Genomic DNA, 14,580 nt, shown 5'->3' with positions numbered 1-14,580 from the left:
TGCCCATCTGCTATGAGATGCATTCCTGAAACCTTGGAAGAGGGATGGTTCACAAGGCTAGAAGTAGAAAATCTAGAACTTCTAAGGTAGGGCGTAGAGGAAGGGATCACAGGCTCAGAGAAGTGCCCATGCCAGAGGGGTGTCAGTGTGAAAATCCAGAACAATGTCCGTCCTCTATGCTCATGGGAAGCCTGGAGGACTCTTGTTTACCCAGCATATAAAGAAGGCTCTGGGAGAAGGCAGCAGACTGTCAAGAAGCTCAGGGATACCTGTTACTGAAGGCCAGGGTTGGGAGTAGGAAATGCTGTTCCCTAAATGACTCCCAGGAGTAATGATCTGAAATAACTGATCCCAGGTAGAGGCTGTCACCTGTCAGGAGGAGGGAAGGCCAAACAACCTGCAGTCTGATGTCCAAGGAGGAAGGAAGCAAGAACCCGCAGGGAAGGCAGAGAGAAGCCAGAGAGCTCCGCCAACAGAGTCACCCCACCCTCTCTCACCTGCTCTCATCTAGCCCAGCTGGCAACCCATGGTATGGTGCCCACCCACACTGATAGGGGTCTTCCTCTCCCCATCCCCCGACTCAAACGTCAGTCTCCTCTGGCAACACCCTGACAGACACACCCAGAAAGAGTACATTACCAGCCATCTAGGCATCCCTTATCCAATCCACTGGACACCTAATATTCACCATCACAGTCCCACAGACCACACTCTCATCCACACTCCACCCCAACCCCAACTCCCTGCGCTCTGCCTCTGGCAGGGGTGAAGGATCCAGTCTCTCCCTGTCTTCACTGTGATTATGATGACAGCCATCCTACTAGGTGTGAGGTGGCATCTTCTTGTGGCTGTGATTTGCATTTCCGTAATGGCTATTGATGTTGAGCCTCTTTTCATGGGCTTAGTGACCAATGTATACTTCTCTGGAGAAATGATCATTCAAAAACTTTCCACATATTTATATTGCATTATTTCTCTTTACAATATTGAGTTGTAAAGAGTGCTTTATATATTTGGGATACCAGTCCCTTACCAGATATGTAATTTGCACATATTTTTTCCATGCTGTAAGTTGTCTTTTCACTTTCTAAATGACATTCTTTTTGAAGCAAAGAAGTTTTACCTTTAGAATAAGTCAAATGAAACTATTTTTCTTTTGTCAATATTGCCTTAGCATACACTACTTTAGCAGTCTTAGCCAAACCCCAAGGCACAAAGATTTACTTCCATGTTTTTTTTCTTTCTTTCCCTTCCTTCCTTTTTCCTTTTTCCTTCCTTCCTTCTTCCTTCCTTCCTTTCCTTCCCTTTCCTTCCTACCTTCATTCCTTCTTTTCTTCCTTCCTTCCTTTCCTTCCCTTTCCTTCCTACCTTCTTTCCTTTTCTTCCTTCCTTCCTTTCTTCCTACTTTCCTTCCTTCCTTCCTTCCTTCCTTTCTTCCTACTTTCCTTCCTTCATTCCTTCCCTCCTTCCTTCCTTCTTTTCTTGACAAAGTTTCACTCTTGTTGCCCAGGCTGGAGTACAATGGTGTGGTCTTGGCTCACTTCAACCTCTGTCTCCCAGGTTCAAGCAATTCTCCTGTCTCAGCCTCCCGAGTAGGTGGGATTACAGGCACCTGCCACTATGCACAGCTAATTTTTGTATTTTTAGCAGAAATGGGGTTTCACCATGTTGGCCAGGCTGGTCTCGAACTCCTGACCTCAAGTGGTCCACCCCCCTCAGCCTCCCAAAGTGTTGGGATTACAGGCATGAGCCACCACACCTGGCCATCCAGCCCCATTCTTGAGGGCTTTTCTCTCATACCCTAATAACCTATCAAAGCCTCCCTCTCCTAGTACACATTAGGCACTATGTTTAGGGGCACATAGACATTCAGTCTCTAGCGCCACCTCTGCTGAGTCCTGTCTCCATGGAAATGAGGAAGCTGAACAGCCTCCTCCACACAGTCTCCCCTTGACTGCCATTGCCTCAGAGTGACAGTGAGTAACTCACTAAGACCAATGGCTGGGCTTTCTTGGGGACAGTTCCAGGGACTAGTTTCTTGTTCGTGTCTGGGGATCCTTCCCTGCTTCTTTGCACCTCTTGTGGTTTTTTGAGATGAAACGGAATGTTTACAAGAATACAATGTGACAGCTCTGGGAATCAGATGTCCCCTCTCTTCAAGGTGTGTTACTGCTGCTTGTTTAGTGACTTTCCTGGATGGATCTTATAACATCTGTATTCCCTGTCACAGGTGGACCCTGAAGTCTCTGCTCAGTTAGGTGAGGTTGGATAGAGGTTTGCATCAATGCCTTGAGCCGGCGAGTCTCTCCCCAGTGCGGAGGGTTTTGTGTGTGTGGTGCACTCCTGCCCCTGCTGCACTCAGGCGGGCAGCTGATGTCACCACTGCAGCTCCACTTCCTGCCTGCACAGAACCTCCAGGTCAGCCAAAGATCAGAGATGTGGCCTTCTCAGGTGCTTCCTGGGCACGTGCCAGCCTCTATGCACATCTCATTCCCCAAATCTTTCTCTCAATTTCCCCCACTAGCCTCTTGTTTGCCCCACATACAAACGGTGGAGTTGTATGGTTGCAAAGACTGCTTTTAGCCAATGCTCTGAGGATCTGGCTTTTCCCTAGAAAGAGACCTCAGCAGGTCAAACAATGACAAACCCAATGAATGGGGCTTTTCCAGTGAGTCCCAGATAGGCCAAATAGAGTTCTCTGGGGCAGGGGCTTTTGAAGGGCTCCAAGCCCCTGGTGCCCCTTCAGCAAGTGGAGACTTGTAGCTGTGGCCTTGTAGCTGTCATGGACATGGTGAGTCCAGTGTTTTCTGGGCATAATAAATCAGGATATATTGTGCGGACAAGAAGTAGAAAGAACTGTTAGGAGGAAGAATATAAATTTTCAAGTACGAGTTCGGAAGTATTAGGAAAAAAACGAGGAAAAGGGCAAGGTTGGCTTGGTTGTAGCTAACCTGGTGGAGAAACGCAGTTGTCTGAGATAGAGTACTCGAGCTGTTAGGTTCCTCTGCAATGCCAAGACCACCTCCACAACCTGCCCTGCATCCTCCTCTCTCCCAAAGCTGAATGCAACTCTTGGGCCTTCAGTGCCAAGGAAGCCACAGTCCCAGACCAGAGGAAGGCCTGAGGTGGACAGTGGAAAAGGAGGTGGTGGGTGCAGAAGGAGAAGGCTGACAGCAAGGATTTCCTGAGGATAAACAAAAATGTCACTTGAAAATGGAAAAAAAAGTGAGGGCATAAAGAACAAGATGGAACTCATCTGTAATTCCATTATACAGTGTTTAATTGTAGGGTTTTGGCACTTTCATGTATAATTATTATACAATTATCATCATACAAATTTTTATACAATTATCATCATACAACTTATGATTATCTTAAATGACTAGATTTTATCTTTTTGAGCTGGGTTTGGGTTCATAGTGCAGAGTTCTCTCGCTCTGGTCAGTTAAACCCATTTGTTTTTGGCCTTGTGTCATTTTATTTTATTTATTCATCTTTAATTTCAACCTATATAATACAAGGTACATATACAGGTTTGTTACATGGGTAGAATTTGAGAAGCTGAGGCTTGGTGTCCCAATGATCCCATCGCCCAGACAGTAAGCATGATACCCAACAGGTGTGTTTTTCAGCCCAGGTGCCCCTCTTCTCTCCCCGGTCTGGTGATCTCCAGCATCTGTGGTTCATGCGAATTTAATGTTTAGCTGCCACTTTCCAATGGGAAGATGCAGTATGTGGTTTTCTGTTCTTGCATTAGGTTGCTTAGGATAATAGCCTCTAGTTGCATCCATGTTGCTGAAAAGGACATGATTTTCTTGTGTTTCATGGCTGCATAGTTTTCCATCGTATCTATGTACCACATTTTTTTTCATTGAATTTACTGTTGTTGGGCACTTAGATTGATTCTCTGTCCTTGCTGGTGAGAATAGCACTGTAATGAACATATTGGTGCAGGTGTCTTTTTGATAAAATGAATTCTTTTCCTGTGGGTATATCCCGAGTAGTGGGATTGCGGGATTGAATGGTAGTTCTATTTTAAGTTCTTGGAGAAATCTCCAAACTGCTTTCCATAGTGGCTGAACAAGTTTGCTTTCCCACCAACAGTGTCTGTTTCTTTTGCTCTGCAGCCTCACCACCATCTCTGACTTTGTGACTGGTAAGAGATGGTAACTCATTGCAGTTTTGATTTGCACTTATCTGATGATTAGTGATACTGAGCATTTTTTCATGTTTGTTGGCCAATTGTAGGTCTTCTTTTGAAAAGTGTCTGTTCATGCCTTTGCCCAATTTTAATTGGGTTTTTTCTTCTTGCTTGTTGAATTGTTTAAGTTCCTTGTAGATTCTGGATATTGGACCTTCATCAGATGCAGAGTTTGCAAATAGTTTTCCCCATTCTACAGGCTGTCTGTTTACTGTGTTGCTAGTTTCTTTTTCTGTGCAGAAGCTCTTTAGTTTAATGAGGCCCCATTTGTCAATTTCTGTTTTTGTTGCAATTGTTTTTAGTGTCTTCTTCATGAAATCTTTGCCAGGCCCTATGTCCACATTGGTATTTCTTAGGTTATATTCCAGGATTTTTACAGTTTTAGTACTTATATTTAAATCTTTCATCCATATTGAATTATTTTACATATATGGGGAGAAGTAGGGGTTCAGTTTCATTCTTCTGCATATGGTTGGCCAGATATTCCAGCACTAATTTTCGAATAGGGAGTCTTTCCCACATTGCCCATTTCTATTGAAGATTAGATGGCGGTAGGTGTGCAGGTTGATTTCTGGGCTCTCTATTATTTTATTTACTAAATAAAATAATCATGAATGTAATATTTTCATATTAAATAATTAAAAATTTCTACAACAGGCACTGTGGTTCATGTCTGTAATCCCAGAGCATTGGGAGGCCAAGGTGGTAGCATTGCTCGAGACCAAGATTTGAAGACCATCCTGGGCAACATAGGAAGACCCTACCTCTACCTAAAAATAAAACAGTTTGCCAGTCCTGGTGGCATGTGCCTGTAGTCCCAGCTATTCTAGAGGCTGAGTCTAGAGGATCACTTGAGCCCAGGAGCTGGAGATTACAGTGAGTGAAGACTATGCCACTTCACTTCAATATGGTTGACAGAATGAGAAACTGTAAAAAGCCATAAAAATGAAAAGGATTATCACAATTCCTGGTCAGTGCATCAAAAGGATCCCTGAGGTCTGAAGTCCAGCATGCTATTTTACTAGCGATACTGTTTGGAAGAATAAGGTCATGTTTCAGAGAAGTGTCTGCTTTTCTACAATCAAAGAAGTAGAAAAAAAAATGCCTTTTGCTGGGATTTCTTGTTCAGTTAAAACTTGTGCAGGAGTTCCATCCATTAGCACCGACAGAAAGTGGCAGAAGGTGTTAAGAAAAATGGCTGCTGGGATCATGAGCGAAGGTAATGAGTGGCCTGAGATGTTGAGCCGACAATGTCCTCATCGTCTGCTGGGGGCCTCTGGGCTTGCTAAGGCTTGAACTCCTGCTTTCCAGAAAGGCACAGTGGTGAGTAGACAGGCGGCCTCCCTGAAGGGAGAGCAGGACCCAGACCAGGCTAACAGAGGCTTCTTGATATCACTTTCCACCTTGAGAAAAGATGAAGCATTGGTTTAAGTGGCTGAGAAAAACCTGGGTCTGTTCTCCTGGGTGATCCTTCCCAGGCCCTCCCCATTTCGGAACCTCTCCCACAAATAAGAAACATGCTTTTCCCTCCAACACTACCCCTGGCTCTGTACCCTGTTCCAACCTCCACCCTCCTTCACCACACCACAGAGCCAGCCCAGGTCCTGTTACAGCCCAGGGGGGCTCACAACTGAGGCTGGTAATGAGGGGTCTGCACCCTCACTGAGGGCCTGCTCCTCCCTCTCATAGAAGGGTCTAGAGGACCTGGGGGAACCCTGTCCAAAGAGAGCTCTTTCTATCCACGTTCCCTGGCCTTGGGTGGGCTTGTAGACAAACCACCTTCTTTTCCCTTCACTCTCAGCCTTTCCTCACCCTGGGAGCTGCACCCATAGCTCTGAATGGGACTGTCCTTGCCCTGCCCCATTCATTCCTGGCCAAGTTCAGTGGTGAGCATGGAACTCCAGCAGCAGCTCAGCTCCCCTGCCTGAGTCCACTCTGCTCCAGGCAGGGCCATCAGCTGGCTCAGGATCTGGAGTATGAAGGAGGCAGAATGGCAGGGGCATCGCCCCAGGGCCTGGCAAGGACTCCCATGGGTCCAAGGGGCCTGGCCTTTTCCTAAATCTCACCCTGGACACGCTCTACTCTTCACCTTCCACCTTAACTGCTGGGACCCGAGCTGCTTTCTCTGGGAATGCAGCCTTTGGAACTGGGTGGGCCAAGACCCTCACAGCTCCCTCGTCCTGGGATTCTCCCAGATCACTCTCTTCTTAGCCTCCTCCAGGGACACCCCTTCCCTTGACATCCTTGGTGAAGTGGCCATGCTACTCCTCTCCTACTGTGCAGACTGCCCATGCCTGAGTTTCTGCTGCCTGCAGGCCACACACCATCCCGAATAGGAACCTGCTCTGAAACAGGCCTGAATTGGTTAAACCCTCTCAAGCTCAACAGGCCTTGAGCCTTGGTATGGGTCCCTCCCTTTCCCTCTGGCCTCTGACAGTTAGAATCCATCAGAACTCAAGGTTGAGCTGCCCAGGTCATTGCCAACAGGTGACAGCAGGTCTCATTCATCTGTCTAATGTCAGGATGAGAAGTTCCCGGCCTCTGGGACTCTGGGAATTCTCCTTCCACATCCTCCCATCTCACCCATCTGCCTCTTGCTCCCCTCCCAATATTGCCCACAGTACCTGTCACTCTAAACAACTCTCCTCATCTGCCAGCTAGAATGAAGCAGAGGAAGATGATGAGAAGGCTCCAGGGACTGAGGGTGGTGGCCATGGCCTTGGGTTGGGTTGTGCCTGGGGCCAGAGAGGGTGGTTCTGAAATGGAAACACAGGAGTGACAACCCTTGTCCAGGCTCAAAATCTTAGGGGATGTCTCCTCAGCTCCTGCCACCCCAGGTCATCCTGGAAGGCAGACCTTTTGTCCCCCTCTGCTGTGGGGCAACCTCTGGGACAAGTCTTGGGGTAAGAAGGGAGAGGGGGTGTCCCCTGCCCTCAGGGAGCTCACACATCTGCTAAGGGAAGCGAGGTGACAGCACAGTCCACCCTCCTGCTGTGGAGAAAGAGGAGGTGATGTCCCAGGGCCAGGGAGGGGAGGGCCTCAGGCCCTGGCATTGGAGGTGATTTTGATGGATTTACAGAAACCGATGAGGGGAGAGGAAAGAAAAGGTGATTCTAGGAGGAAGGAACACTAATGAAAAAGATGTGGAAACACTATGACACCCACAGATTTGAGGCTGGTGAGAAATGCGGTGGGTAGAGCAGAAGCAGGTGCAGTGAGGAAGAGGAGTCAGGGGGAAGAAGGGAGAGGAGGATGAGAGAGCACAGGCATGCCAGGACCCCCAGGAGGAGCCCCCCATGAGGGGGTCATGTTCATACTCACTCAAACACACACACACACGCACTCACACACATACACCAGCTGATAAGATCTGAACTCGAGACAGCTTCCATTTATCCCCCTCTCACTTACTTGTTGGATCCAGCATTTGTTCCCAGTACATCAAAAATTCTTCAAGCCACATCTTACAATCCCCCAGTGAAATCTTCTGGAAGAACATGGTCACATCCCTGTTCTTCTCCCACTTCTCTGTCATCTTCTTGGCTCCAGGATGAAGTGCTGTCCACTTTCTGTTGTTTGAGTCAAAGAGGAGGAACTTCTGTCCATTGAAGAGGAACTGCCAAGATCCTCTGCCGTGTCCATGGGCTTCATGCTCACAAGACATCCTGGCCTGCAGGGTGAGGGGCTCTGCCCCATTGCAAAGAGATCAGCTCTGATCTTGACAAAGCCTGAGCCCCACCCTGCTTCCTTTCCTGGCTCCTGGACTTGCTCTCTCTGCTGCATCCGGCCCATGCTCCTCAACCTCTTGGGTGACACAAACTTCTGATTTATTTTTCATATGAAATCAATAAATGACTCTAAGTTACTACTGTGTCTGCTCCCTGGGCCATTTTAAACTTACCAATGGGTATTAAATTCTCCACTTGAATGTCAAGCAGTTGCCCTTTAAGGAAATCCACCACGTCTCTTAGTGTTTCAGTTTGTTCTTCCCAGGTTTTTGTGACATTGACTTTCTTCCCCAGAGAAGCAAAGGCTTTGGCCTTGTGGTTAACACAGTCATAGTGAAGAAAAGGCCTTTCATCCACCAGGCCTTGAACTTCACACCACTGTGGTTCAGGTCTGGACTTAGGAGTGATGATGAAGTCATAGCAAAGACAGTGTGTGTCTGTGGAAGAAAAACACAGGAGGGGGTTGGTGTGGGGGGAAATGGAACCTGTATCCCCTCCTCCCACTTATGGTGACTGCAAGTGAAGGCCTCTGAGGGGCTGGGCTGGCAGACCAAGACATGCCCCAGCCAGGACTGTCATGAAAACTAGTTAATGACTAGAGCGTCTCCCTTGCTTGAGTACACGGAGGGGAAGGTTCCTGCAGCCATGAAACCACATGTCCCCTCCAGACATGTCCCACCTGCTCTGTGCCGACATCAGTCAGCACATGACCTTGTGGTGGAGGTGCCAGGCCTATTGTGGCAGGAAAAGGCCTGGATGAGGAGGACCCTCAGCAGCAGCCCATGTGGACTGCAGGAGGTGGGAGAGTGTGTGGGAGCTGCCCTGGGATGCTCCAGCACAGTGGGTGGGGTGAGGGCAGAATTCAGTTTAGATAAGCAAGTGATTATTGTCATGGGTCACATGATTTAACACGTTGGCAAAGCCCCAGTGAAGATGCCCATCTGCTATGAGCATGCATTTCTGGAACCTTGTAAAGGGATGGTTCACAGGGCAAGAAGTTGAAAACCCAGAACTTCTACATCAGGGTGTAAGGGAAAGAATCAAAAGGCTCAGAGAAGCACCCATGCCAGAGTGGTTGCAATATGAAAATCCAGAACAACGTCCATCCTCTGTGCTCATGGGATGACTGGAGGACTCTTGTATACCCAGCATATAAAGAAGGCCCCAGGAGAAGGCAGCAGACTATCAAGAAGCCCAGGAATGCCTGTTGCTGAAGGCCGGGGTTGGGGGTAGGAAATGCTGTTCCTGAAATGGGCTCCCAGTAGTAATGGGGATGGAAAATCCTGAAATAAGAGATCTCAAGCGGAGGCCGTCAACTGTCAGCAGGAAGGAGGGTGCAATGATGTAAATAATTAAAGAAGTCACAATGCCAGTGGGGGACCTCAGCCTTAAAAATGTATGCCCATGGCTCATAGAACAAAGGGGTCAAGGATCCAAAAGAAATGGAAACTCAACCCGGATACTGCTAGATATAAATAATTACAACAAACAAAGACAAAACGCAAGGATGGATGACCTGAAGGCTGAAAGGAGTCACCCTAGGAAATAACTGAGCTCCTTTGCCCAGCTTTGAGAACTGAGCCACATCTCAGACCCAGAGTCCATTGCTAGAAGGAGAGCCCAGAGGCCCTGGTGGGCTCCTTCAACCCCACAGCAACTGCAATGACTCCCTCAGCCTCCCCCAGAGAGCCAGATGGGCATTCACTCTGGTAACTGTATGCCATGAAATGGCAAATACCCAGACACTCCTAGTAGACACAGTGTGTGATCCAACCTCCTCCCAGGGACCTAAAGCATTAACTTGCTCCCCTATTACTCATGAGGTGCATTTAGGGCAAAGTAACAGATGGACACCTCTGTCAGGTCCAGCTTAGAGGGATGGGCTGGGTTCATAGACCCATTCGATGGTAATTTCACATTTCCTGGATTTCTACCGGGAATGGATAGTGTTTGTAGTTAATGTAGTAACTATTATAGGTTGTGCTGGTCATATGACCTCCCCTGTCACTACTTAACTCTGCTCTTGTAGCTGGGATGCAGCCATACACACCCTGTGATGAGGGGTGACGCTGGACCTACCAATACAGCTATTTGACCCTGGACTCCCTAAGATCCCAGAGGCATATGTGGTTGGAAAAGGTGCTATGTGGATTTCATGGCAATTGCCAACCGCAGAATCACAACAGGATCCCCTAGTGCTCAGAAGCAAGGCTGTGCCACTCACAGCAGTGAAATCCCCTCATTTAAAAGTGGCTCCTGCTGTGGTCCTGGGCCCCTGTGGAGATGGGCCTCCAGCTATGGGAGGGCAGTGACCACACAGCCTCAGAGCTGCCCATCACAGGGTGGGCTCCTCACCCTTTAGGTCATTAGGAATATAGGCCCCACAGTGAGAAGACACAGGTGGGTCTCCTGGGATGGGCAGGAGCAGGGCCACAGGGAACCAAGAAGCTGCACAAGCAGTTGGCCCCGATCCCCAGGACACTACATGGCTGCACCCCCTCACCCTTAGCTCACACCTGAGGCTTTAAGGAGGGTCCCTGATTGCCCTGAGGGACCTATGATGCCACCCAGCAGCAAAGGAGGGGCGCAGTAGGCCCAGAACCATAGGACCTCCATTCACATCCATCACATCCACACCACCCAGAAGCCACAGGCAGGGTAGGACACACTTGTGACTCTTCAACTTACACTACTTGGAGATGACACCCTAGGGGATGGGGCAGCAATTGCCAGGACACAGCATGTGCCCTCATCTGGGGTCAGCAACCTAGGACAGGGTCCACATCTGCTCTCCCTTTTATTTGCAGGTTACCATTGCCTGCTGTTGCTCTACAAAGGGACAGGACTTGACACACAGACAGAGAACTCACGGCCAGCAAGGACCAAAGTGCCTTCAGCCTTTCCTTTCTAGAAAGGGTTTGCTGACTCCTGTCTGCTTAGTGACTATTCTATATGACCCTGGCTCCCCAGTCGGAAGAACAGGCGGGTCTGGGACCCAAGGGCAGAAGTGGGCACCTCTACTCACCGGCGCTCCCAGGGTCATCGTGAGGGAAATGGGATTTCCCGTCCCCCCTGCATTAAGTTTTGTGGAAAGCCTGGGGTGTGTTTGCTGGGGTGTGTCCTCAGGCAAAAGGGGACAAGGTGCTAGTTGGTCGGGGGAGGTGCTAAGGGCCCCTTCATGGATGGGGAGGTGAGGGAGGCCTGTGTGGTGACAGGGGTGAGCTGAGATGGGGAGTGAAAGGATGCGACCTGGGTGGTGAAAGTGAATGGTGAGGGGAAGGGTAGCAAGTGTCTGGTGAGCCCCTGCGTGCAGGTGAGTGTCTGCAGCAAAGTGTAGGGGCGAAGTTCCAGGGCAGGGAGCCCTGGGGCTGCTGGAAGCTTTGTGTGGTGAACAGCAGGTCAGAGCAGAGCAGGGCTGTGGCTGATGGGGGAGTCTGTGATCGCGTCCCTGTGGAACTCCCCTTTACCCCTGTCCTGACCCCAGCTAGGGTTCGGGAATCTGGTTTCTCCTTCCCTAGGGCCAGTGGGGCTGCGGGTCTGCACCAGGGATCCCCGCCCTACCTTGCCCTCTGTAGCCTTTTGGTCCCTCCACCCTCCTGCAATTCCTTTTCAGCCTTCTTTGACACTCCCCCTGGACTGCGGTGCTAGCAGCAGCTGCAGGAAGCGGACTCGGCGGAAAGGAGCCCCGGAGGGGAACTGAGTGCCTTCAGCCAGGCACGTTCGGGGAGACAGCGATGTTCGGGGAGACCGCGATGTTCTGGGGGATCGCGATGTTCGGGGAGACCGCGATGTTCGGGGAGGCCGCGATGTTCGGGTAGACCGCGATGTTCTGGGGGATCGCGATGTTCGGGGAGACCGCGATGTTCGGGGAGGCCGCGATGTTCTGGGGGATCGCGATGTTCGGGGAGACCGCGATGTTCGGGGAGGCCGCGATGTTCGGGTAGACCGCGATATTCGGGGAGATCGCGCTGGTCCACCCAGAAGCCTCCTGGCCTATGGGGCAAGCAGCAGCCGCAGGAAGCGGACCCGGAGGAAAGGAGCCGCGGAGGGGAACTGAGTGCCTTCAGCCGGGCATGTTCGGCGAGATCGCGATGTTCGGGGAGATCGCAATGTTTCGGGGGATCGCAATGTACGGGGAGACGGCGATGTTCGGGGGTACCGCGATGTTCGGGGGGACCGCGATGTTCGGGGAGACCGCGTTACTCGGGGGGACGGCGATGTTCGGGGGGGATCACGATGTTCGGAGGGATCGCGATGTTGGGGTAGAACGCGATGTTCGGGGGCATCGCGCCGGTGCTACCAGAAGCCTCCTGGCCTGCGGGGCAAGCAGCAGCCGCAGGAATCAGACCCGGCGGAAAGGAGCCGCGGAGGGGAACTGAGTGCCTTCAGCCGGGCATGTTCGGCGAGATCGCGATGTTCGGTGAGATGGCAATGTTCGGGGAGATCGCGATTTTCGGGGAGACCGCGATGTTCGGGGAGATCGCGTTGCTCGGAGAGAGGGCGATGTTCGGAGAGGCCGCGATGTTCGGGGAGACCACGATGTTCGGGGAGACAGCACCGGTCCTTCCAGAAACCTCCTGGCCTGAGGGGCAAGCAGCAGCCGCAGGAAGCGGACCCGGCGGAAAGGAGCCACCGAGGGGAACTGAGTGCCTTCAGCTGGGCATGTCTGGGGAGATCACGATGTTCGGGGAGATCGCGATGTTCGGGGAGACAGCGATGTTCGGGGGCACCGCGATGTTCGGGGAGACCGCGACGTTCGGAGGGACCGCGACGTTCGGGGAGACCGCGATGTTCGTTCAGGGAGATCGCGCCGGTCCTTCCAGAAGCCTCCCCTCCTCTGAAACCCGCTGCAGTCCACAACCTCCCAGGTTTGGCCCCCGCCCTGCTTAGGCTACATCCCCGAACTCACCGACCCATCCTGCCCGGGACCAGCCAGACAGCAGGTGCAGAAGCGGGAGGCACAGAAGGAACGCGGGGCTGGCGGCCGCTGCCATTGTAGACCTGGAGCTCCGTGGACAGGAGGCGCTGATGGTTCCCTTCGAGGCTCACACCACGGCTGTTTATAAAGCTGCCCAGCCCGGCCCGCCGCGCGCAGGGATACACTGGGCGGGATCCTAGGCATGCACTTTTTTGGGGATGCTCCACCCCGTCACGCCCCGGGCTCGTCATCTGACAGCGGCCTGGCTGACGCAACTCTCCCCTCCGACCCGCCCCCGCGGCTTGGTGGCGGCGTGCGCGGGCCCCGAGCGGGCCAGGACGCCGTTCCTTCCGTTCCTTCCATGGCCCCATCAAATAATTTTTCAACACAGCATTTATCATTACCCCAGTGTAAACACTGATGCACAGGAAGATGAAGAAACTTGCATAGGAATACTCAGTGGCGGCGGTGTCTCCCTGTCACCGCCTGCGCCAGCGACACCCGCCCTCCCTCCGCCTGCAGTCGCGAAGTCCCCGCCCCTCTCCGTCCAGGGCGCAGCCGCTTCCCCATTCCGGAGCGAACCTTTTTTGCCTCTCCACTAAAAGCATGAGGTGGTCTTTGAGTATATTCTATATCCCTTTATGACTTCTGGAAAAAAAAAAAAAGAAAAGAAAGAAAGCCCTAGAGGGCTACCGTGATCAATCATGATGTGATCAGTTGTGTTTCCATGGAGAGCAGAAGCCGAGGGAAGAGTCTACGCATGCGTGGGGCTCACTTTGCTACACACCCTTCTGTGTCTAACAACACCCAAATCCGTGGCTGTATCTGCACCTCGGCTCAGTCCCTGGATGGTCCCTGCAGCCATCCTCAAAAGGGACGCCCGAGTGCATCCTCCTCTGAGTCACCATGAAACCATCTAGATCTGCGGGTAGAAGCCAGAGGGAGGTGGAGGGCCCAGTGGCTCTTGGCCGCAAGGGAGGGCTTAGCCTGCAGTAAGGACTGGGCAGAGCCCCTGAGTCCCACTTTGCCCCCAGCCACTCAGCCCATTCCCCAATGAATGAGAAAAATAGGCACAGACCTCCCACTCCACACAGTCTTCATGTGGGGAGACCTTCACCTGGTGACCATCAATCACCAGGGTCCTGAGGCTGTGGGAAAGGGGAGGAGGCCTGGACCAAGCCCAGGGCCTGACTATGCTTCAGGACAGGGACATGGGATGGCAGCCATCTCTGTGACTGAGCAGGGACACAGGAGCCAAAAGGTTCTGGCCTGATGCACTAGAGCCTCTGTCCAGGAGGGGCTACATGAAGGGTGGTCGGCAGGACAACAGTCACACGGGGGTGGGCAGTTCTCAGATTTGGGAGGGGAATAGCTTGGTGGGCCCAGGGATCTGTGTGTGAGAAAAGCCTCCCATGTACAGGGCTGGGGGCAGGAGCTCAGGTTAGTCCTAGGAGGAGGCCACTGGGAAGTCCCTGGCAGCACCACCCCTGAGGCCGGGTGACCTGGGCCAGTGACTGCGGGAACAGGAGGAAGGCAGAAGGAGGCTGGCAGGAGAGCCCCAAGCAGGACAGCCAGGTGACAGGAGGAGGGGCCTGTGTGCACACCTGGGCCCTCCTGCCTCACCCCTGCTGCAGGCATCCGGCCACTAGACTCAGGCCTGCCCAGGATGGGCATAGAAGTGGCCCAAAGGTTATTGTAATGGCCGGGATCTAGAGATCATGCATTCAGATATG

General features: G+C 51.7%; 1 protein-coding gene across 4 annotated transcripts, besides 2 other annotated features; it reads right to left on the bottom strand.

Annotated features, from left to right (window-relative positions):
* Positions 1 to 3,257: 3,257 nt before the first annotated feature.
* Positions 3,258 to 13,030, bottom strand: ULBP1 (UL16 binding protein 1). 4 transcript variants are annotated; one of them, NR_133659.2, is made up of 5 exons: positions 11,491 to 13,030; positions 8,103 to 8,366; positions 7,613 to 7,888; positions 6,826 to 6,957; positions 3,258 to 5,604 (listed from the first exon to the last, which is right to left on the bottom strand). NR_133659.2 is itself a non-coding variant. In NM_025218.4 (5 exons), the coding sequence occupies exons 1-4, from the start codon at positions 12,921 to 12,923 to the stop codon at positions 6,848 to 6,850; spliced, it is 735 nt and encodes a 244-aa protein (NP_079494.1). In that variant the 5' UTR covers positions 12,924 to 13,030; the 3' UTR covers positions 3,258 to 5,604; positions 6,826 to 6,847. The 4 variants fall into 4 exon arrangements, 3 of the variants coding, with proteins under 3 accessions (NP_079494.1, XP_016866811.1, NP_001304018.1); NM_025218.4 differs by having other exon boundaries at positions 12,839 to 13,030; XM_017011322.2 differs by lacking the exon at positions 6,826 to 6,957 and having other exon boundaries at positions 12,839 to 13,030.
* Positions 11,074 to 11,613: an enhancer, noted in NCBI's record as "H3K4me1 hESC enhancer chr6:150286496-150287035 (GRCh37/hg19 assembly coordinates)". NCBI's record gives its function as "activates a minimal SCP1, AML or CMV promoter by ChIP-STARR-seq in primed H9 embryonic stem cells {active_cell/tissue: H9 hESC(primed)}" and the evidence as "EXISTENCE:reporter gene assay evidence [ECO:0000049][PMID:30033119]".
* Positions 12,155 to 12,694: an enhancer, noted in NCBI's record as "H3K4me1 hESC enhancer chr6:150285415-150285954 (GRCh37/hg19 assembly coordinates)". NCBI's record gives its function as "activates a minimal SCP1, AML or CMV promoter by ChIP-STARR-seq in primed H9 embryonic stem cells {active_cell/tissue: H9 hESC(primed)}" and the evidence as "EXISTENCE:reporter gene assay evidence [ECO:0000049][PMID:30033119]".
* Positions 13,031 to 14,580: the final 1,550 nt, after the last annotated feature.

The sequence above is a fragment of the Homo sapiens genome, chromosome 6 (assembly GCF_000001405.40).
Source record: "Homo sapiens chromosome 6, GRCh38.p14 Primary Assembly".
Lineage (NCBI taxonomy): Eukaryota > Metazoa > Chordata > Mammalia > Primates > Hominidae > Homo > Homo sapiens.
Note: the sequence above shows the minus strand (reverse complement) of the source record. Positions and strands in the feature narration are given on the sequence as shown.

What these genes read in the sequence shown, in the direction of transcription:
- ULBP1 (NM_025218.4), bottom strand. Translation starts at nt 12,923, where the DNA reads ATGGCAGCGGCCGCCAGCCCCGCGTTCCTTCTGTGCCTCCCGCTTCTG. An exon ending in GTCCCGGGCAGGATGGGTCG is followed by an intron (nt 8,367 to 12,838) that starts GTGAGTTCGGGG and finishes TTTCTTCCACAG; the next exon opens with ACACACACTGTCTTTGCTAT. An exon ending in GGAGAATTTAATACCCATTG is followed by an intron (nt 7,889 to 8,102) that starts GTAAGTTTAAAA and finishes GCAATGGGGCAG; the next exon opens with AGCCCCTCACCCTGCAGGCC.